The 22,702-nt window shown below is 41.0% G+C and overlaps 1 protein-coding gene across 52 annotated transcripts in view, besides 2 other annotated features; it reads left to right on the forward strand.

Moving 5' to 3' along the window:
• Nucleotides 1-22,702, forward strand: part of ERC1 (ELKS/RAB6-interacting/CAST family member 1) — a 505,975-nt gene that overhangs the window by 13,769 nt on the left and 469,504 nt on the right. The gene's annotated exons all lie outside the window — the stretch shown is intronic.
• Nucleotides 2,323-2,823: an enhancer, noted in NCBI's record as "H3K4me1 hESC enhancer chr12:1115216-1115716 (GRCh37/hg19 assembly coordinates)". NCBI's record gives its function as "activates a minimal SCP1, AML or CMV promoter by ChIP-STARR-seq in primed H9 embryonic stem cells {active_cell/tissue: H9 hESC(primed)}" and the evidence as "EXISTENCE:reporter gene assay evidence [ECO:0000049][PMID:30033119]".
• Nucleotides 2,824-3,324: an enhancer, noted in NCBI's record as "H3K4me1 hESC enhancer chr12:1115717-1116217 (GRCh37/hg19 assembly coordinates)". NCBI's record gives its function as "activates a minimal SCP1, AML or CMV promoter by ChIP-STARR-seq in primed H9 embryonic stem cells {active_cell/tissue: H9 hESC(primed)}" and the evidence as "EXISTENCE:reporter gene assay evidence [ECO:0000049][PMID:30033119]".

Here is a 22,702-nt window from a genome sequence, read left to right on the forward strand (position 1 = left end):
TGGCAAAGACACAGAGAGCCTCTTTAGACTCAGACAGTTTATCTGTTACATAGTCGGCAGAAAGAAGAATAAGCCAAAGGTTCCTGCTCCCTGTGATCTTTGTCCCACATACCAAAAAGGATAACACCACAACAAAAGGGGCTGATGCCTGCAGTGTGAGCTGGGGGATACTCTGTTGATGAGGAGCCTATTCTAGGCTGCTGCTAAGTGGTTTTGTATTCTACAGCGCTGTTCTAAGTTAGGCAGGGCTGAAGGTTCAATGCCTTGTCAGAACCCAGGATGCCATGAGAAACTGTCTCATGGCAGCTTCTAAGGAAGATAGGGAAGAGGTGACCTGGGAGAGCTCCATATAGGCCTTCCACCATCTCCTGTTATGGGAGGATCACAGGGCATTCCTCCAAGACTCAGATAAGCTGCAGGTCACCAGAACACCATGGTGGAACTGTTTCCCTACAGATGTTTGTTATAGTTGCTTTTGCACATGTCCTTTATTAGATTAAGAAAGTTTCCTCCTATACCTAGATTTTTATTCATTAGTAAATGTTAAAATGTGTCCAGTGTGTTTCGTATCTATTGGATGCTTCCCCCCCTTTCAACCCATTATTATGGCCAGTTACATGGATTTAAAAATTCATTTCTGCTGGTTAATAAATTTCTTTCTTTTTTTCTTTCTCTTTTTTTTTTTTTTTTTTTTTTTGAGACGGAGTCTTGCCCTCTCGCCCAGGCTGGAGTGCAGTGACGTGATCTCGGCTCACTGCAACCTCCGCCTCCTGGGTTCAGACAATTCTCCTGCCTCAGCCTCCCAAGTAGCTGGGATTACAGGTGCCCACCACCACACCCAGCTGATTTTTGTATTTTTAGCAGAGATGGGGTTTCACCGTGTTGGCCAGGCTGGTCTCAAACTCCTGACCTTGTGATCCAACCGCCTTGGCCCCCCAAAGTGCTGGGATTACAGGTGTGAGCCACCATGCTCAGCTGGTTAACACATTTCTAAGCATTTTTTTCCTTTGAAAGATTTTACTTACTTGAAAAAAAATTGCTGTTGATGACTTTCTTTTCTCTGGCTGCCTGCCTTTTTCTGTGTGTGTGTGTGTGTGTGTGTGTGTGTGTGTGTGTGTGTGTATAAATTTTTTTTTTCTCATTGTTCATATAGAATTCAGGTATAGAATTCAGGTTGCTGAACTTTTCAAGGAAGAAAGACCGTATTTAACTTCTGATTCATCATTAAGAAGTTATTAATGGTCCCAGAGACTCATAGGGGTTTCTTCTGAAGTAAGAAGAAGCCATGTTTTACATCTTCAGATGCCACGTAGGTGACTTTTCTACCTTCATGGTAGTATTCACTTTACTTTCATTAAAGGCAAGTAATTTTGAGTACTTCAAATTAGTTCCCATCCCTTTTCTAAACTTTAAACATTTTTAAAGAAATCTTTATTTATTTTCACCTGGGGTTTCACTCTGTCACCCAGGCTGGAGTGCGGCAGTGCTATCATGGCTTACTACAGCCTCGACCTCCCAGGCTCAAGCGATCCTCTTGCATCAGCCTTCGAGTAGCTGGGACTGCAGGAGTGCACCACCACACCCAGCTAATTTTTTGTAGAGATGGGGTTTTGCCATGTTGCCCAGGCTGGTCTCAAATTCCTGAGCTTAAGTCATCTACCCACCTTGGCCTCCGAGTGTTGGGATTACAGGCATGAGACACCATACCTGGCCCCTTTTCTAAACTTTTATATGAAATTTAGGCTGAACCTTTGCTTGACGTTATTCTCCCTTGCATTTAGATATAAAGTTATTAAACAGAAAAAGTTACTGAAGGTAGATAATTATTGGCTATTTCATGTGATTTTTCTGGTGGTTACTGTAGTCAATTTTATAGTATTGCCAAGTTTCTGAATCCATTCTGAATAATGTGATTGTTTATTCTTATGCTTTGGGCCTGATAATTTTTGTAGAGCAGCAGTTCTTATCTGGTTTCCTGTTATTTTTAAAATAAATTAATTGAAAATGGGCATAAATTATTTGTTAAGTTTGAACTTGACAAATGCAGGTAAAGTATAATGATATTATATTTCTTCTGTACAGCAAGTATATACATGTATATTTTAAATCATCAATCAGGATTTCCTTCCAAAGTTCAGAATTAGGTTTTGATTCTTAACAGTTTATATTAAAATTCTTATTATTATTACTTTTTTTTTGAGATTCTTAACAGTTTATATTAAAATTCTTATTACTTTTTTTTTTTTTTGAGACAGAGTCTCGCTCTATCGCCCAGGCTGGAGTGCAGTGGCATGATCTTGGCTCACTGCAACCTCTGCTTCCCGGGTTCAAGCAATTCTCTGCCTCAGCCTCCCAAGTAGCTGGGAATACAGGCGCCTGCCACCACACCTGGCTCATTTTTGTATTTTTAGTAGAGACGGGGTTTCACCATCTTGGCCAGGCTGGTCTTGAACTCCTGACCTCAGGTGATCCACCCGCCTCGGCCTCCCAAAGTGCTGGGATTACAGGCATGAACCACTGCACCTGGCCAGTATTATTACTATTTTTTGAGACAGATTTTTCTCGCTCAGGCTGGAGCTCATTGCAGCCTCGAATTCTTAGGCTTAATCAATCCTTCTGCTTCAACCTTCCAAGTAGCTGGGACTGTAGGCATGCGCCAGCATGCCTGGCAAATTTTTTTTTGTTTTTGAGACAGAGTGTTACTCTGTCACCTAGGCGCAATTTCAGCTCACTGTAGTCTTGACCTTCCACTCCTAAGTGATCTACCCACCTTGCCTCCTGCATAGCTGGGACTACAGGGGCGTGCCACCATGCCCAGCTCATTTTTGTAATTTTTTTTGTTTTGTTTTTAAGAGATGGGGTTTTGCCGTGTTGCCCAAGTTGGTCTCAAAACCCTGGGCTCAAGTGATCCCCTCACCTTGGCCTCCCAAAGTGTTGGTATTGCAGGCATGTATCACTGTATCTGGCCTTTTCTTTTTTTATTAGAGACAGGGTCTTGCAGTCCAGGCTGGTCTTGAACTCTTTGGCCTCAAGTGATCTTCTGTCTTGGCCTCCGAAAGCCCTAGGAAACAATTCTTGTAAATAGTATAGCAAAAATGTCTGCTTTATAAATTTTTCATTTTTATAGTTGTTCAAGAGTACATATGTATTTCCTTTTTTCTTTTTCTCGTTCCTCATTCAAAAAATATGGAAAATCTAATATACAATATATATGTGTATATAGTATATATAATATAGTATATATATGGTGTATAGTATATAGTGTATATATAGTATAGTGTGTATATATATGACTCTGTATTGTGTTCCATCTTGGCAGTACAGTGTTTGAGGCACTGTCTCCGCCCTCAGGATGCTGGTGACCAGGGAGGGAGACAGTAAACAGGCAATTACAGTAGAGTGTGATAAGTGTTATTGATACGTGCAAGAACTAGAAGGTTTAAGGAGTGGCCAAAGAGGCTTGAAATTGGGTTTGGATCATGAAGGGCTTTGTAAACCCTGTTAAAATCTGACTTTTACCTTGGAGCAATGGCAAGACTTTGGAGACTTTTGAGTAAAGGAAATAACAGGAGTATATTTGTATTTTACAACAAATGGTTAAGAGGAGGCTATGTGAGGAAGCCAACTAGGAGGCTGTGGACCTGTTCCCACTAAAGCCTAAAAACTAAAGTAGTGACAGTGGGGATAGAGACGCGTACAGAGTTAAAAGCTTTAACAGGACTGGGTAATTCATTCTCTCTCTCTCTCTCTCTCTCTCTCTCTCTCTTTCTCTCTCTCTCACTGGGTAATTCTCTCTCTCTCTCTCTCTCTCTCTGTGTGTGTGTGTGTGTGTGTGTGTGTGTACACACTTTGTGGGGAAAGGACAGTTAGTTGATGGGGAGGAAGAAGACTAAAGTGACTCCCAGACTTTCAGATGGAACCCCTAGGCTAGGAACAGTGCTATTGGGTACAGTAGCCACTAGCCATGTATGGCCATTAAGGTATGTCTAAACTAATTTAAATAAAATAAGATTTAAAATGCAGTTATTCAGTTGCACTAGCCACACAAATATAGAATTACAGACTCTTAAATTCTGTAAATTTCATCCAGAGTACTATGAAGTTATAAATTCAAGAGTATGCACAGAGATTCAAGCAGAAAATAATATCTGGCTACATGTGTTTAACAGCAGTATGGGACTGGTGGCCTCTGTATTGGACAGTGCAGATATAGAACATTTCTGTTACAGAAGGTTCAGTGGGACAGCAGTGGTCTGCAGTTTTTGGTTTCTACTTTCTTTTCCCCGCCAGAGGAGAGTCAGAATAACAGGTGGTTTTCTCTCGTCTCCTAAGAACTTTGGTTCCACAGTATTCTGTTGTGTGATATTGTTACCCAGGGATTCTGCTAGATACCGTTCACTACTGTCAACCACCATCACCCAGTCATCAGGTATAGGACGTTTCTGTAATCAGAGAAGGTTCTTTTGGACGGCACTGAGCTAGAGAGATGGTGATGTCATTCATCGAGCTATTGATGGTTGTGGTGGGACAACAGTAGCTGCCAGAAAGCGCTGTTTATTAGAAATATGAGCCACATATGTAATTAAAAAATTTTTAGTAGCCACATTAAAGAGTAAAAAGAAACAATTGGATTTTATAACTTATTTAACACAGTATGTCCAAAATATGATTTACAACACATTAAAACATTTAAAAATTATTGATCTATTTACATAATTTTTTTTAATTTTTTTGAGACAGGCTCTTGCTATGTTGCCCAGGCTGGTCTCGAACTCCTGGGCTCAAGTGATCCATCCGCTTCAGCCTCCCAAAGTGCTGGGATTACAGGTGTGAGCCACCATGCCCGGCCACATTATTTTTTAATACTAGCTCTTTGAAATCAATTGTATACTTTCATAGTATATCTTAATTGAAATACTAATTTTTTTGTTCTTTCGTTATTTTCAAATGCTTAGTTTTATCAGAAATATTTCATCTGTATTTATATCTGTAAATCATAAAATTTACAGTTGAAAAAGTAGATTTATATGCCCAGGTTATTCCAAACATGCTTAAAACTTTTCCAGTAATGGAATTAAGTATCGGTTTTTAAAGTTTCAATTCCCGTGAAATAAGAATAAAAATTCAGTTCCTCGGTCTCACTAGCCACCTTTCAAGTGCTCAGCACTCAGCAGCTGCATATGGCTAGTGGCTACCATATTGGACAACACAGCTCTGGAATAACTGCTCACTGGATGGTTGGAAATTCAGGTCTGGAGTTTAGGAAAGAGGTAGCAAGACAGAAGTTAGAAGGGAGGAGCTGTGAGGAACATGGGGATTTAAAAAAAGAAGTTTGTGACTTTGAGCAAACTAATTTTAACCTTGGTGCTCCATTTAAAACAAAATCGATAAAAGCATCTTGGTGAGAGTATAATAGTAGATGAATATGCAGTATCTTGTGGTGGTAAAGATTTTTTTTTTTTTTTGAGACAGAGTCTCTCTCTGTCGCCCAGGCTGGAGTGCAGCGGCACTATCTCGGCTCACTGCAAGCTCCGCCTCCCGGGTTCACGCCATTCTCCTGCCTCAGCCTCCCGAGTAGCTGGGACTACAGGTGCCCGCCACCACGCCCGGCTAATTTTTTGTATTTTTAGTAGAGACAGGGTTTCACCGTGTTAGCCAGGATGGTCTTGATCTCCTGACCTCGTGATCCGCCCACCTCGGCCTCCCAAAGTGCTGGGATTACAGGCGTGAGCCACCGCGCCCAGCCAAGATTTTGACTTTAGAGTTTGATAGAGCTGTGTGATCTTGGGCAACTTACTGGGCCTAATACAATCTTTCTCCTTGAAAGGGGTTTGCTGTTGGGATTAAATGAAATATTGTGACAAGTGTTCACTGCATATAATACGTATTTCTTTACTTTTAAGTTGCCATTTCTTTTTGGTGAGGTGTACTATCAACTTAATAATTCATTCTTTTTAGAAAAAAAGAAACATAATTTAGTTATACATGTTAATTATAAGCTGCATCCCAATTCAGAAACTTTAAAATATGAAAAACTGTTTATCTTAAAATATTAATATTGATGAGTGTTCATTATAAACTAGATACTGTGTTAAATGCTTTATATGGTGATGTAAAAGGTTTGATTTTTATAAATATGCAATGTAATATGATATTTTTGTTATAAAGTTTCATTTAAGTAGATTCTGCAATACAAATCTCTTCTGGAAACTTTAAAATGCATGATGGTATAACTCCTTTTTTCAGTTATTTCAGGAACCACTGAATTCTGCTTGAATCTCTTTGGATACTTCTAAATTTATGATTTCTCCAGGCTAAATCTGCAGAATTTGAGTCTGTAATTCTACCTTAGTGAGTACACATATAAAGAATTACTATTTAAAAAACTGCCTTGGTAGAGTTTATTCAGAGAAGCGTGGTAACCGAGGGGAGGAAAATGGACTTTTCCAGGTCGAAGAGAAAGGAAATATTGGCTGGGTGCCATGGCTCATGCCTGTAATCCCAGCAATTTGGGAGGCTGAGGTGGGCAGATCACTTGAGGTCAGGAGTTCGAGACCAGCCTGGCCAACATGGTAAAAACTCATCTCTACTAAAAATACAAAAATTAGCTGGGCGTGGTGGCGGGTGCCTGTAATCCCAGCTATTTGGGAAGCTGAGGCAGGAGAATCGCTTGAACCCGGGAGGAGAGGTTGCAGTGAGCCGAGATCATGCCACTGCATTCCAGCCTGGGTGACAGAGGAAGACTCTGTCTCCAAAAAAAAAAAAAAGAGAAAGGAAATATGATTTTTTTTTTTTTTTTTGACAGAGAGTTTCATTCTTGTTGCCCAGGCTGTAGTGCAATGGCATGATCTCATCTCACTGCAACCTCCACCTCCCAGGTTCAAGTGATTCTCCTGCCTCAGCCTCCTGAGTAGCTGGCATTACAGGTGTGTACCAGCACACCTGGCTAATTTTTTTTTATTATTATTAGAAATGGGTTTTTACCATGTTGGCCAGGCTGGCCTTGAACTCCTGACCTCAGGTGATCCGTCCTTCTTGGCCTCCGAAAGTGCTGGGATTACCGAACCCGGCTGGCTATATGATTTTTGATGCTCTGCAAATTCTTTTCTGAGGTCTTTTTCTTAAGTCTCATCTTCTGGCAGTGTGCCATTCCACCCGTTTCTTGGAGAAGACCAGAAACATGTTTATAATGCGTACCCATGCGTTATATACACAGTGTGTACTAGGAAACCTTACTGCCTTATTTGTGGTAGTTTCAGTAGACCCACTCAGGTCTGAAATAATATTAGGCATTTTACATCCGTATTATTGGAAATAATGAAAAATTTTATATGTGCCAACTGCATTTGGTGATAGCAACTGCAAGTGCTGTGTTGAAAATGACTTTGAGACTAGGTACAAAAGGATGAAGTGTTCACCCTGGAATTACAGTGGCTCTCCTTTTGTTTCTGTTTAAGTCTTCTTAACATTTTTCCTTTTTTTGTTTTTTGAGACAAGGTCTCACTCCGTCACCCAGGCTGGAGTGCAGTGTTGCCATCACCGCTCACTCTCACAGCAGCCTTGACCTTTTGGGCTCAAGCTATCCTCCTACCTCAGCTCCCAAGTAGCTGGGACTACAGGCATGCACCACCATGCCCGGCTAATTAAAAAAATTTTTTTGTAGAGACAGGGTCTCTCCGTATTGCCCAGATTGGTCTCAAACTCCTAGGCTCAAGCGATCTGTCTACCTTGGCCTCCCAAAGTGCCAGGATTACAGGTGTGAGCCACCTTGTTTGGCCAACATTTTCCTTTTTAAATAAGTAGTGTTTACCTGTTTGGAAAATTTTGACAACTATTAGGAAAAAACTAGGTTTCAGCTCATCTTTTGGCTGTGCTTATATTTGCAAAATTGAGAGTATACTGTAGATTAAAATATATTCTTGAAGGCTGGGCACAGTGGCTCATGCCTGTAATCCTAGCAGTTTGGAAGGTCAAGTTGGGCGGATCACCTGAGGTCAGTAGTTCAAGACCAGCCTGGCTGGTTAGCCTAGCTAACATGGTGAAACCCTGTCTCCCCTAAAAATGCAAAAATTAACTGGATATGGTTGCAAATGCCTGTAGTCCCAGCTGCTTGGGAGGCTGAGGCATGAGAATTGCTTGAACCCAAGAGGCAGAGGTTGCAATGAGCGGAGATCACCCCACTGCACTCCAGCATGGGTGACAGAGTGAGACTCTGAAAAAAAAAAAAGCATATCCTTTTTCATTATTGTGTTATAAACGTTTTTTAAATGGCAGACATTGGTTTGTAAATGGTTTTTGTAGGCTTCATGTTAAGTCATAAAGATTTCACTTAAACATTTCTCAATGAAGTGAGTACTAATAAAGCTGGTGTATCTTTATAAACTTTTCTCTACATTTTGGATCATTTGAGTAGATTGGTTTTTCCTGTTCATAGAATTACTGGATCAAAAGATATGTTTTTAAGACCCTTACTGTAACCATTTTCAAACTTGCTGCTTCTCAGATACTTTTATTATTTTTGGGAAGAAACAAATACTTACTGGGTTCCTATAATTTTTCACTTAAACCCTTTTAAACTTATGATATGCTTCAGACATGCAAAAAGATACAGAGAATGATGTAATTAATATCTGTGTATCTACCACCTAGCTTAAGAAATAAACAGTCACAGACTTAAAATTCCTGTGCAGCTCTTCCTGATTATAAATGTCTGTATTTACCAACAGTGATGTGGATATTTAATCTTTTTTTTTTTTTTTTTTTTGAGACAGAGTCTTGCTCTGTCAACAGGCTGGAGTGTTGTGGCGTGATCTTGGCTCCCTGCAACCTCCACCTCCTGGGTTCAAGCTATTCTTCTGCCTCAGCCTCCCAAGTAGCTGGGACTACAGGCCCAGCTAATTGTATTTTTAGTAGAGACGGGGTTTCACCATGTTGGCAAGGATGGTCTCGATCTCCTGACCTCGTGGTCTGCCTGCCTTGGCCTCCTGAAGTGTTGGGATTACAGGCGTGAGCCACTGCTCCCGGCTGATATTTAATCTTAACCATTAATTCAGGTCTGCGTCCAAGATCTTTTGGACCAGAATTCAGAATTTTTTTCAGATTTTTAGAGAGATGACATGCATATATTATATATAAGCTAACTTTTCAAGTATGTTTTGGGAATGGTCCCTAATTTCTTCATTAAACACTTTGGGATTACTGACCCAGTCCAGGTCTGGTTTTACTATCATATTAGTTATAAATTTTTGGATTTTTAGACATTTTTGTTATTCAGTCTTGTGAATAGACGTTTGTGAACAGGTACATCTGTTTTACTTTGTTCAGCTTAATCACTGGTAGAATTTGTTGAACTTTGTGTTGAGCTGATCACGATGTAGTATGAGATGTATAAAATGCAAGGTAACATAATTTTATGTCCAAACAATTTAATATTTTAGGATTTTATGAAATCAGGTTATCAGTGAGCACTAGAGTCGTTGGGGAAGGCTACACAACCTAGAACTTGACTTGTTTCAACTAAGTGGCGCAGATTGCTGTTACAACTGGAGAACAACTATGATTAACAACCTTGTGTTTATTTCTAAGTATCTAGCTTGACAAAATATTTGTCATGATGAGAACTTTGAGAGAACTTATAATTAACTTGATTAATTGATAAGAATTATTAAAAACTGCAGTTAACTTGATTGTAAACTGAGTTACCCTTCCATTAAAAAAAGGCGAAATAGTAACTGACAAGTGTTAAGATTGCTCGTTTACAATTGATGTGTCATTGCTGCTCCAAGCAGAGGTGGCCTTTCAGATAGGTATGCTCTGAAACAGTGCTGCTTTAGCCACACTGTCGTGTAGTTTTAGTCTCTAGTCAGTATTGGAGAATCAGATTAAGGTTATACAACTAGATGCGTAGTGTTAGCAGACTTAATACATTTTAGTTACATGCTGAGTGTAGAGGCAGAGAAATCTGTGCCTTCATTAACTTGTAGATTTATTTTCTTTCTGTCTTTCTGTCTGTCTGTCTTTGGGTCTGTCTGTCTTCCTTTGTCACCCAGGCTGGAGTATAGTGATGTGATCATAGGTCGCTGCAGCCTTGAACTCCTGGGCTCAAGCTGTCTTACTGCTACAGCCTCCCAAGTAGCTAGGGCTAAAGATGTGTGCCACCACACCTGGCTAATTAAAAAAAAAGTTTTTTGTGGAGACGAGGTCTTGCCGTGTTGCCCAGGCTGATCTGAAGTGATCCTTTCGCCTTGGCTTCCCGAAGTGTTGGGATTATAGGCATAAGCCATGTGCCTGGTGATTTTTTTTTTTTTTAAACTTCCTGCTACTTACAGAGATATTAGCAATCTGTCTATGCCTAGCCCATTAATTGCTGTGTAAATTAGTGCCGAATGGTTGTGGAGGTCTTTATTTAAACCTGTAGTTTATAATGAGACTTAAAAAAATGTAAGTTTTTTTTTTTGTTTGTTTTTGAGACAGGGTTTCACTCTGTTTCCCATGCTGGGATGCAGTGGTGTGTTCTTGGCTCACTGTAGCCTCTGCCTCTGGAGTTCAAGCAATTCTTATGACTCAGCCTCCTGAGTAGCTGAGATCATAGGCGTGTGCCATCATGCCTGGCTAATGTTGGTATTTTTGGTAGAGACGGGGTTTCACCATGTTGCCCAGGCTGGTCTCGAACTCCTGAGCTCAGGAGATCCACCCATCTTGGCCTCTCAAAGTGTTGGGATTACAGGCCTGAGCCACCACACCAGGCCAAAAAAAGTAAAGTAATACACACTCACTATAAAAAGAAAATGGAACAGAGAAGAAAAGTATGTAAGTAAGGAAAAAGGTGATTCCATCTGGTCTTTCAGAAATAGGCTTTTACCGTACAAATCATTTCTGTGTATATACAAACATACGTGTATATATCCTTTGTACACAAATGAGATTGCCTCGTAAGCATTCTTCTGTAACCTGGTTTTTTTCCCACTTCACAATATGTTTTTGCATGTCAGATCTATATCTTAGATATAGATATTTACTTAATTTTTTTTTGTTTTTGTTTCTTTTTCCTTTTTTTGAAATGAAATCTCACTGTCACCCAGGCTGGAGTGCAGTGGTGCAATCTCAGCTCACTGCAACCTCCGTCTCCCAGGTTGAAGTGATTCTCCTGCCTCAGCCTCCCAAGTAGCTGGGATCACAGGTGTGCGCCACCATGCCTGGCTAATTTTTGTATTTTTAGTAGAGATGGGGTTTCACCATGTTGGCTAGGCTGGTCCCGAACTCCTGATCTCAAGTGATCTGCCCTCCTTGGCCTCCCAAAGTGTTGGGATTACAGGCATGACCTACTGTGCCCTGCCTCTTTTTCTTTCTTTTTTTTTTTTTGAGACAGTCTTGCTCTGTTGCCCAGGCTGGAGTGCAGTGGCATGATCTTGGCTCACTGCAACCTCTGCCTCCGGAGTTCAGGCAATCCTCTCACCTGAGTAACTGGTACTACAGGCACACACCACCTTGCCCAGGTAAGTTTTGTATTTTGGTAGAGACAGGAATTCACCATGTTGTCCAGGCTGGTCTTGAACTCCTGACCTCAAGTGATCTGCCCACCTCAGCCTTTTAAAGTGCTGGGATTACAAGTATGAGCCACCATGCCTGGCCATTGTTTTTCTTTTCTTTTTTTTAAATTAGGATTGCCTGAAAGAAATTTTTTTTAAACAGCAGCATTGTCTTTTGTAGTTGAGAGATACATAAATTTATTCAACTAATCTCTTTGGAAATTTAAGCGGTCTCCTTGCTGGTACAAACAATGCAATAATTGAATATCATTGCACATTATGTCCTTGAACCTGTGAAAATATATTTTATGGAGAATATTTTTTAAAGTGAAACTTCTAGTTCAACAATGTGCACATTTTAAATTTTGATAGATTGTGCCAAATTGTACCTCAGTGGGATTTTAAATTTTTGGTTTATTGTTCATCTTTTCACAGGGAGCCTAGGATAGCAGCATATTTCTCGTCCCTAGTAATATTTATAACCCTTTAAGAAAATGAACAGGATCTTTAAACATGTTGAAATACAGTATTAAAAATATTTGACTCGTTGATGAGCATAACCCCATTACATCAGGTTGTACTAGTAATTTTGAGATTTATGTGAGAATTTCACATATAATTATTTAAATAGCTAATGGGTGGTATATTACATCAGGTTACATCAGGTTGGACTAGTAATTTTGAGATTTATGTCAGAATTTCACATATAATATTTAAATAGCTAATGGGTGGTATATTACATCAGGTTGGACTAGTAATTTTGAGATTTATGTCAGAATTTCACATATAATTATTTAAATAGCTAATGGGTGGTATATTACATCAGGTTGGACTAGTAATTTTGAGATTTATGTCAGAATTTCACATATAATTATTTAAATAGCTAATGGGTGGTATATTACATCAGGTTGGACTAGTGATTTTGAGATTTATGTCAGAATTTCACATATAATTATTTAAATAGCTAATGGGTGGTATATTACATTTTCTGGTTCAACTTACAAATATAGCACATCTGTGTTAGCCTAGTCCATTATAGTTAGTTTGAAGTAAACTGCTGTGTTGCTATTAAAGAATTTTTTTGCTTTCATTTGTCTTAATGATATTTGGTGTTCCTTTGGAGACTCAGTTCATAAAGAGCTATTATTATTTTTCTAATCTATGAGGAGAGTGAGAGATTGCTGTCTGCAGTTGCATGTTATGCTCGTAGCTATTTGTGGGAAGAGTGAGAATTAAAGGCTAACATATAATCATTGTGGGTAGAAGTATTTTTATTTTTAGACTTCTGAGTATAATGGATTTCTGTGGGGTGAGGCGAGACTGGGGCTGTTTTTCTCTCACAGTATGTATATAACCATTGGGATCAGTGCTTTTCTTTTCTTTTTTTTTTTTTTTTTGATTTTTTTGGATACACTGTTTCACTCTGTCACCCAGGCTGGAGTGCAGTGGTGCGATCTCGATCTCGGCTCACTGCAACCTCCGCCTCCTGGGTTCAGGCAATTCTCCTGCCTCAGCCTCCCAAGTAGCTGGGTTTACAGGCGTGTACCACCATGCCTGGCTAAGTTTTGTATTATTAGTAGAGATGGGGCTTCACCATGTTAGCCAGGCTGGTCTCAAACTCCTGACCTCAAGTGATCTGCCTGCCTTGGCCTCCCAAATTATTGGGATTATAGGCGTGAGCCACCGTGCCCGGCTTCAGTGCTTTTCTTAGGGAAAAATGATTCTGGAATTTTTGAATATTTTTATTTATTATTTTTTTGAGATGGAATCTTGCTCTGTCACCCAGGCTGGAGTGCAGTGGCATGATCTCGGCTCACTGCAGCCTCCACATCCTGGGTTCAAGTGATTCTCCTGCCTCAGCCTCCTGAGTAGCTGGGGTTACAGGTATGTGCCACCACGCCCAGCTAATTTTTGTATTTTTAGTAGAGACGGGGTTTCACCATGCTGGTCAGGCTGATCTCAAACTCCTGACCTCAGGTGATCCACCCGCCTCAGCCTCCCAAAGTGCTGGGATTACAGGCATGACCCACCATGCTCGTCCTGAATATTCTTTGTGTTTTTTTCTGACAGGCTTTGTGATGTGAATAGTAGTGAATTGATAGTGAAACTGTATTGTTAATAAACACATAATTTAAGATAAGCCAGATTTCTGGTAATATTCTTCTCAGAATTAGATTTTAGGAAATTTCTCTAAATGTAAATCCTGGAAAGCTTGCAGAGATTTAAATGTTGTTCTGGTATTTTTTTTTTTTTTTTTTTTGAGACGGTGTCTTGCTCTGTCACCTAGGCTTGGAGTACAGTGGCACAGTATCTGCTCACTGCAACCTCCACCTCCCGGGTTCAAGCGATTCTCATGCCTCAGCCTCCCAAGTAGCTGGGACTAGAGGCGTGCGCTATCACACCCCGCTAATTTTTGTATTTTTCGTAGAGATGGAGTTTCACCATATTGGCCAGGCTGGCCTCGAGCTCCTGGTCTCAGGTGATCTGCCCGCCTCAGCCTCCCAAAGTGCTAGGATTACAGGCGTGAGCCACCATGCCCAGCCCATCTGGTATTTTTAAAAAACTCAAAATATAGGGTACAAAATTCATCTTAAGTGCTTGGTACATCTTTAGCTTGGTAGGTCTCTGACATAGAGTTTAATAGAGATTTTTTTAGTATTGAGAACCCATTTGTCCCCACAGACATATTTTCTGCGTGTGATTGCTCTGTGTGTATGTGAATTTTTAATTTCTTTCTTAGATGAGAGGCATTAGTCTGTTTTTGAGCTTATGCCATCTTCTTGGAATTAAGATTTAGCTACAGAAGTTTGTATTCTTATTAATGCAGGAAGAACAGTTTTTTAAAAAATTGAAATCTTGCCCATTTAGTTAATTATTTTCAGGGGATAGATGACAAAAGTAAATTGCAAGACATGTACAGAAGGAGGTTGTCAGTTCATGGAATTTGTTTTATTTATTTATTTTTATTCAGAGTCTCACTCTGTTGCCCAGGCTGGAGTGCAGTGGCATGGTCTCAGCTCACTGCAACTTCCACCTCCCGGCTTCAAGCGATTCTCCAAGTTGATTCTCCTCCCTCAGCCTGTGGAGCTGCTGGGAGTACAGGTGTGCGCCACCATGCCTGGCTAATTTTTGTATTTTTAGTAGAGACGGGGTTTCGCCATGTTGGCCAGGCTGGTCTCGAACTCCTGACCTCAAGTGATCCGCCTGCCTCGGCCTCCCAAAGTGCTGGGGTTACAGGCGTGAGCCACCACACCCAGCCTAATTCATAAAATTTGGATACTGTTTAAAGATAGAGAAAACTTTCTTAACTTGAGGAAAATGTTAAAAATTGCTTTCATTATATTTGTTTTAGATTACATTTAGTTGCAGGTTCCATAAACTACATTCAAGATTAGTACTGCTTTTTAAATGTATATGAACTATCTAATGGTTTTTACGTGGATTTAGGTTAATTGTGGCGTTGGCAAACACTTACTGCCTGCTTGATTTGTATTAGACACTGTGCTAGGTTTTGGAGATGGAGTAAGACATTCCTTTACTTTTAAGGAGGTGATTAACTAAAACAATAATTACATTATTTTAAAAGCCCCTGGTTACCTCAGAGGAGCACCTAAATTAGACTGAGGGGCATGAAGGTTTGTGTAGGATTGTGACTGTTGAACTTAGTTTGGAAAAATGAGCAGTAGTTAGCCAGTTGATGGGGCAGAAGAAGGTCATGGAAACCAGAGACAGCTTGGTATTTCAGGGAATTGCATAGACCTGATTATGGTTGTCACGTGGAGAAGGACAGTGGATAAGTAGTAGTTTCAGAGAGATAGGCAGGGCCAAATGATGAAAAATCTCATATGCACTACCAAGGAATTCAGATTAAAAAAAAATATTTTTTGAGACAACGTCTGGCTCTGTCTCCCAGGCTGGAGTGCAGTGGCATGATCTCTGCTCACTGCAACCTCCGCCTCTTGGGCTGAAGTTACCTTCCCACCTCAGCCTCCCAAGTAGTTGGGATTACAGGTGTATACCACCTGGCCCAGCTAATTTTTTGTATTTTTAGTAGAAACGGGATTTTGCCATGTTGCCCAGGCCAGTCTTGAACTCCTTAGCTCAAGTGATCATCCTGCCTCGGGTTCCCGAAGTGCTGGGGTTATAGGTATGAGCCACCGTGCCCAGCCAAGACATTTTTAAAATGTGAGAATACACAAGCACACATTCCATTAGCTGTCAGTGGGATATTATCACATGTCATGTAGCTCTGGAAAACACTATCATGCACTTGTGAGAGAATCACGGTGAAAAAGGCCAATGACATCATCCTTTTATGGAAATAGTTTTGCCCTCATGGACCTCCTGCAAGGGGGTCTTGAGCACCCCTGGAATCCCTTACCCATCTGGAGAATCATATTAGAAGATCATTATGGCACTGGTGTTGAGAATTGTTTAGAACCTATAAAAAGAATCACATTTATTTTTGCTTTTTTGAGACAGGGTCTTGCCATGTCATCCACGCTGTAGTGCAGTGGAACTATCGTGGCTCGCTGTAGTGCAGTGGCACTATCATGGCTCACTGTAGCCATGAACTCTTGGGTTCAAGCAATCTTCCTGCCTCAGCTTCCTGAGTAGCTGGGACTGCAGGCATGAGCCACTATGCTGGGCTATTTTTTTTTTTATTTTTAAATTTTTTTTGCAGAGATAGGATCTTGCCGTGTTGTCCAGGCTGGTCTTGAACTCCTAGACTCAAGCAATTCTCCTGCCTTGTCTCCCAAAGTGCTAGGATTACAGGCATGGGCCACTGTGTCAGGCCAAGAAGGACATTTCATATTGTGATCCAATATGCGCACTTTAAACATCGCAGAAAACAAGACTGTATTATCTCTTGCTGCTTTACAAATTACTTCAAAACTTACTGGATTTAAAGAACATCTGGCTGGACACAGTGGCTCATGCTTGTAACCCCAGCACTTTGAGAGACCAAGGCAGATGGATCGCCTGATATCAGGAGTTTGAGACCAGCCTGGCCAATATGGCGAAACCCCATCTCTACTAAAAATACAGAAATTAGCAGGGCCTGGTGGCACATGCCTGTAATCCCAGCTACTTGGGAGGCTGAGGCAGGAGAATCGCTTGAACCTGGGAGACGGAGGTTGCAGTGAGCCAAGATTGTGCTACTGCACTCCAGCTTGGGCAACAGAGTGAGACTCCTTCTCAACAAAACAAAACAAAAAGAAACAAACATCTCAGATTTTATGAAGAGTATGTATTGGGTGATTCTGACTCAGGGTATCTAGTGAGGTTGCAGTCAAGATGTTGACTGCTGAGTTTACACTCATTTCAATTCTTGACTGGGATTGGAGGATCTTTGAAGCTATCTCACGTGGCTGTTGGCAGGAGACCTCAGTTTCTGAATATGTGACTCTCTTCACAGGGTAGTTTGAAGTTTGAGTATCCTCACGACATGGCAGCTGGATTCCTGAGAGAGAGTGATTTGAGAGAGTGACGAAGACAGAAGCCCCAGTGTCTTTTAAGAGTTAGTCATGAAAGTACATCATTGGAAGCAAGTCATTAAGTCCAGTCCACACTCAAGGAGAGGAAATTTAGTCTCCCTCTTGAAGGGAGGAGCATTAAATAATTTATGAACATACTTTAAAACTACCACAAATAATTGTCAGGAGAATGAATCTTCCATGAGCTTCTTATTTCTTTTGTTTGAGATGGAGTCCTGCTCTTTCACCCAGGCAGGAGTGCAGTGGCGCAGTCTGGGCTCACTGCAGCCTCCACCTCCCGGGTTCAAGCGATTCTTCTGCCTCAGCCTCCTGAGTAGCTGGGATTACAGGCACATGGCCACCATGCCTGGCTAATTTTTGTATTTTTAGTAGAGACGGGGTTTCACCATGTTGGCCAAACTGGTCTCAAACTCCTGACCTCAAGTGATCTGCCTGTCTCAGCCTCCCAAAGTGCTGGGGTTACAGGCATGAGCCACTGCATCCAGCCGAGACTCTTATTTCATATACACCCTGTTGAGTGTGCCAGGAATGCAAGCAAGGCCTTGACTGTTCCTAGGCCAGGCCATTTTTCAGGATTGTGTTTGCAGCGGGCCACTTTGCGGGAGGAGGTAATGTCTTCCATTGGGACAAAGAGCAGGCCTACTTACTACTTACTATAAAAGTGGTGGATTCCGGCCGGGCGCGGTGGCTCATGCCTGTAATCCCAGCACTTTGGGAGGCCGAGGTGGGCGGTCAGGAGATCGAGACCATCCTGGCTAACATGGTGAAACCCCGTATCTACTAAAAATACAAAAAATTAGCCGGGCGTGGTGGCACGCACCTGTAGTCCCAGCTACTCGGGAGGCTGAGGCAGAAGAATGGCATGAACCCGGGAGGCGGAGCTTGCAGTGAGCCCAGATCGCACCACTGCACTCCAGCCTGGGCGACAGAACAAGACTCCGTCTCAAAAAAAAAAAAAAAAAGTGGTGGATTCCCTAAGCCCAATGTTCCTTAGCTGTGATGCAAACCCACTGCCTGTGTAGCATCCATCTGAGCCCCTCCATGTCACCTTATGGGACTTGGGGATAACAGGGAGACAGTGCAAACATGTTCATGCTTGCTGCGCTGTGAGTAATAAAAGTTCTTTGTGTTTGACCCAGGAGACTCATGTATTCTGTCAGTATCCATGAAATGGTCATAGGCTAATGTATTAACCTGTAAGTAGGGTTAAATAAAATCCTAGTTCCTTCACAGTTCTCAACATTACTTATGTTTACTTTAGTGTGATACACTGTGAAAATAAGCTATACATTTTATTTTCTGTTCTATTTATCTGTTTATTTTAGAGATCCTATCTCTATTCTCCTATAGATAGGATCTTGCTATGTTGTCCAGGCTGGTCTTGAATTCCTGGACTCAAGCAATCCTACTTCCTTGGTCTCCCAAAGTGCTGGGATTACAGGCACAGGCTATTGTGCCTGGCCAAGAAGTACATTTTATATTGTGATCCAGTATGCACATGTGCATGCATATGCACACCTGAAACATTGCAGAAAACAATACTGTTATCTCTTGTTGCATTACAATTACTTCAGAACTTACTGGATTTGAAAAACAAACATCTCAGATTTCATGAAGAGTGTGTTGGGTGATTCTGGCTCAGGGTATGTAGTGATTTTATTTCATTTAAAACAAACAAGAAAACAAGCTTGGTTGCAGCTTATCAAGCTGATTTCACAACCTACTATTGGGTCATAATTCTAAGTTTGAAAAACACTGACTGGGGACTGTTACCGTTTGGCTGTGTCCCCAGCAATCTCATCTTGAATTGTAGTTCCCATAATCCCTACATGTTGTGGAGGGACCTGGTGGTAGCTGAATCGTGGGGTCGGTTACCCCATGCTGTTCTGATAGTGAGTGCTCACGAGATCGATTTTATTTTTTCTTTTTTGAGACAGAGTCTTGCTCTGTCACCCAGGCTTGAGTGCAGTGGCATAATCTTGGGTCACTGAAACCTTTGCCTCCTGGGTTCAAGTGAGCACGTCTGGGTAATATTTGTATTTTTAGTAGAGATAGGGTTTCACCATGTTGGCCAGGCTGGTCTTGAACTCCTGACCTCAAGTGATCCACTGACCTTGGCCTCCCAAAGTGTTGGGATTACAGGCGTTAGCCACCGCGCCCAGCCTAGATCTGATGGTTTTGTAAGGGGCTCTTCCCCCTTTGCTTGGCACTTCTTCCTGCCGCCATGTGAAGAAGGATGTGTTTGCTTCCCCTTCTGCCATGATTGTAAGCTTCTTGAGGCCTCCCCAGCCCTGCAGAACTGTGAGTCAATTAAACCTCTTTCTTTTATAAATTACCCAGTCTTATGGGTAGTTCTACATAGAGCTTGAGAATGGACTAATACAGGACTCTGAGGCTAGAGGCAGGCAGTCAGGTTAGAAAGTTGTTTTAATTCAGGTAGGATAGGATGGCATAAACCAAGGTAATAATTGTGGGAATGGAGGAAGAGGATCAATTTAAGAGGTACCTAGAAATCAAAGCAACAGGAATTGTATTGTTTTGATAATATGTGTGTATATGGAGTATGAAGATTTTGGGAGGACTCTCAGGCTCTGGCTTGAGCAGCTGATGTTATTCATGTGAATAGATGTTGTCCACTACCATGTTCTTTTTTTGATTTTTTTTTTTTCCCCTGCAGCAGCAGGTTTGGTTTTGGAATGGGGAGACCTTGATACGGAGTTCAGTTTGGGGGCATGGTGTATTTGAGGTGCATGTGAGGAGTATAAGTGAAGATGTCCAGAAGTGGGATACATAGTTTTGATTCTCAAAGGAGAAGTAAAAAAGTACTGGAGAAGTAGTGAATTTGGAGTCTTTGTTGTACATATGTTATTTTAAGCTGGTGGAGGCAGGGAGAAAGGATTTCTTAAGGATGATATTGTAGTGTGAGAATAACATAGGGATGAAGATCAGAAACATTTAAGGGAGGAACGAACAAAGAAGGAGGAGGGTTAGAAGAAAAGAGCATATGATATAAAGAAACCAAGAGAGGAGAGTGTCAAAAAATTGGGAGTGCTTAAGAAACAAGATGTATTATAGACAGAAGTTAAAAAGGCATTAGAGAGGAAAAGTGTTCATTAACTAAGGTTTCTCTGGAGAAGCCAGAGGGAATGGGGACTAAAGTACCCTGTGGAAGGATTAGCTGTAGCCCACTTCCATCAGAATAGAGGAAGTTAAGGATGGTTGTTGCTGTCAATGAACATGTGGAGAGAGAAAGTTGAGATAGTTCCTGTTTGATTTCTTTGTTTCTCTCTTATGTAGGAGATGAGATACGTAAATTTGATAGGGCTGCTGTAAGAAAGTACCATCAGCTGGGCACGGTGGCTCACGCCTGTAATCCCAGTACTTTGGGAGGCTGAGGCAGGCGAATCCGTTGGGCCCAGGAGTTCGAGACCAGACTGGGCAACATGGTGAAACCCCACCTCTACCAAAAATACAAAAATTAGCTGGGTGTGCTGATGCTCGCCTGTAGTCTCAGCTACTCGGGTGGCTGAGGTGGGAGAAGTGCTTGAGCCTGGGAGGTTGAGGCCACGGTGAGCTGTGATTGTACCACTGCACTCCAGCCTGGGTGACAGAGGAGACCTTGTCTCAACAAACAAAAACACAAAACATCTCCCGCCTCTCCACCCCGCTCCCCCCACAGGTTTGAAACCACCTGCCTGTTATTTCAAACCACCTGTGTGTTCACATTTTTGAGGACTTTTAACCTGTTTGACCAGAATAGATACTGTCTTTAGAATCTCATTTTTGACAATATGATTTACTTGGTACTGTTTTCAATGAAGAAACACTTATAAGAATCAATTTACATAACAATGGATTTTGGGAAAATATTGTTTAATATGCTGAAGCCTGTTGTTACTTGACCTAAGCCAATGCTTTGAAATGATGCTAGGAAATCAGAGAGATCTAGTTTAGATCTATATTGTCTTTGAAAGAAGTCTATAAAGTTGATAGCTATAGTTTAGTGGGTTCTGCATCCACAGCTCAAACCACCTGTGGACCAAAAATATTTGGGAAAGAATCTTAAAGTCACCTTGAAAAAAAAAGTGGAAAAAAAAAAAAAAAGAAAATACTTGGGAAAAAATAATACAACATGGAAAAATAATACAAATAAAAAACACAATAAGTATAACAACGATTTACATAGCATCTACATTTTATTAAGTATTATAAGTAATTTAGAGATGATTTAAAGTATGCTGGAGGATATCCATAGGTTTTATGCAATTACTGTGTCATTTTGAATCAGGGACTTGAGCATCCTGGGATTTTTGTTGTCTGGGGCAGTCTTGGATATCTGGATACGTTCTACTGGAGCCAGTCCCCAGCAGATACCAAGGGACAACTGCCTGTGGTTTTAAAATTTGTTTTAGTTATACTTGTAGAGTATGAACATGTTTTCTTTTTTGAAAAAAAAATTCAGGTGCTTTATGGTAGTTTGAGTGTAAAGCTTTCTAAGTTGAGCTAAAGCCTCCACAAACATTTTTCCCCTTTATAACACAAGTTTCCTTCCCTCTAATTATCGCTGTTTCAAAATTGGCATTTCCCGTGTAGGAATTCTTTACATACTCTGTTTACAGATCATTATACTTATGTTCACTGTATTTTTCACCTAGCTTTTGGTTTATCTTTTAATTTTATTTACAGCATTTTTTGGTATAATACTTTGTCATTTTGACATAATTAAGTGTGTTGGTTGTTTTTCTTTATGGTTTTTGCTTCTGGTTTTTTATTTAAGAAGCCTTTTCCTAACTCAAGTTCACAAGGATATTCTTCAAAATTTTCTTCTAGTACTTTTAATGGCTTAAAAAATTTATATCTTTAATGTATATGGAATTTATTTTGGTGTACTATGTGAAGACGAGTATACGTTATGTTTCTCAAAGAGCAACAAGTATTTAAACTTCATTTATTGAGTGATTTTTCATTTCCTCACTGTATTAGTCTGTTCTCATGTTGCTAATACAGACATACCCGAGACTAGGTAATTTAAAAAGGAAAGTTTTTTTTTTTTTTTTTTTTTGAGACGGAGTCTCGCTCTTGTCACCCAGGCTGGAGTGCAGTGGCGCGATCTCGGCTCACTGCAATGTCTGCCGCCTGGGTTCAAGCTTCTTATGCCTCAGCCTCCTGAGTGGCTGGGATTACAGGCACCTGCCACCATGCTTGGTTAATTTTTGTACTTTTAGTGAGATTGGGTTTTGCCGTGTTGGTCAGGCTGGTCTCGAACTCTTGATGTCAGGTGATCCACCCGCCTTGGTCTCCCAAATTGCTGGAATTACAGATGTAAGCCACTGCACCCTGCCAGGAAAGAGGTTTAATGGACTCTCAGTTCCACATGGCTGGGGAGACCTCACAATCATGGCAGAAGGCGAATGAGGAGCAAAATTATGTCTTACATGGCGACAGGCAAGAGAACTTGTGCAGGGGAACTCCAATTTATAAAACTATCAGATCCCATGAGACGCACTCACTACCACCAGAACAGTAGAGGGGAAACTGCGCCCATGATTCAGTTAAGTACACCTGGCCCCACCCTTGATACATGAAGATGATTGCAATTCAAGGTGAGATTTGAGTGGGGACACAGCCAAACCATATCACTCACTGTTTGGAAACGTTACTTTTAACATATATTAA

Source organism: Homo sapiens, chromosome 12 (genome assembly GCF_000001405.40).
Source record: "Homo sapiens chromosome 12, GRCh38.p14 Primary Assembly".
NCBI lineage: Eukaryota > Metazoa > Chordata > Mammalia > Primates > Hominidae > Homo > Homo sapiens.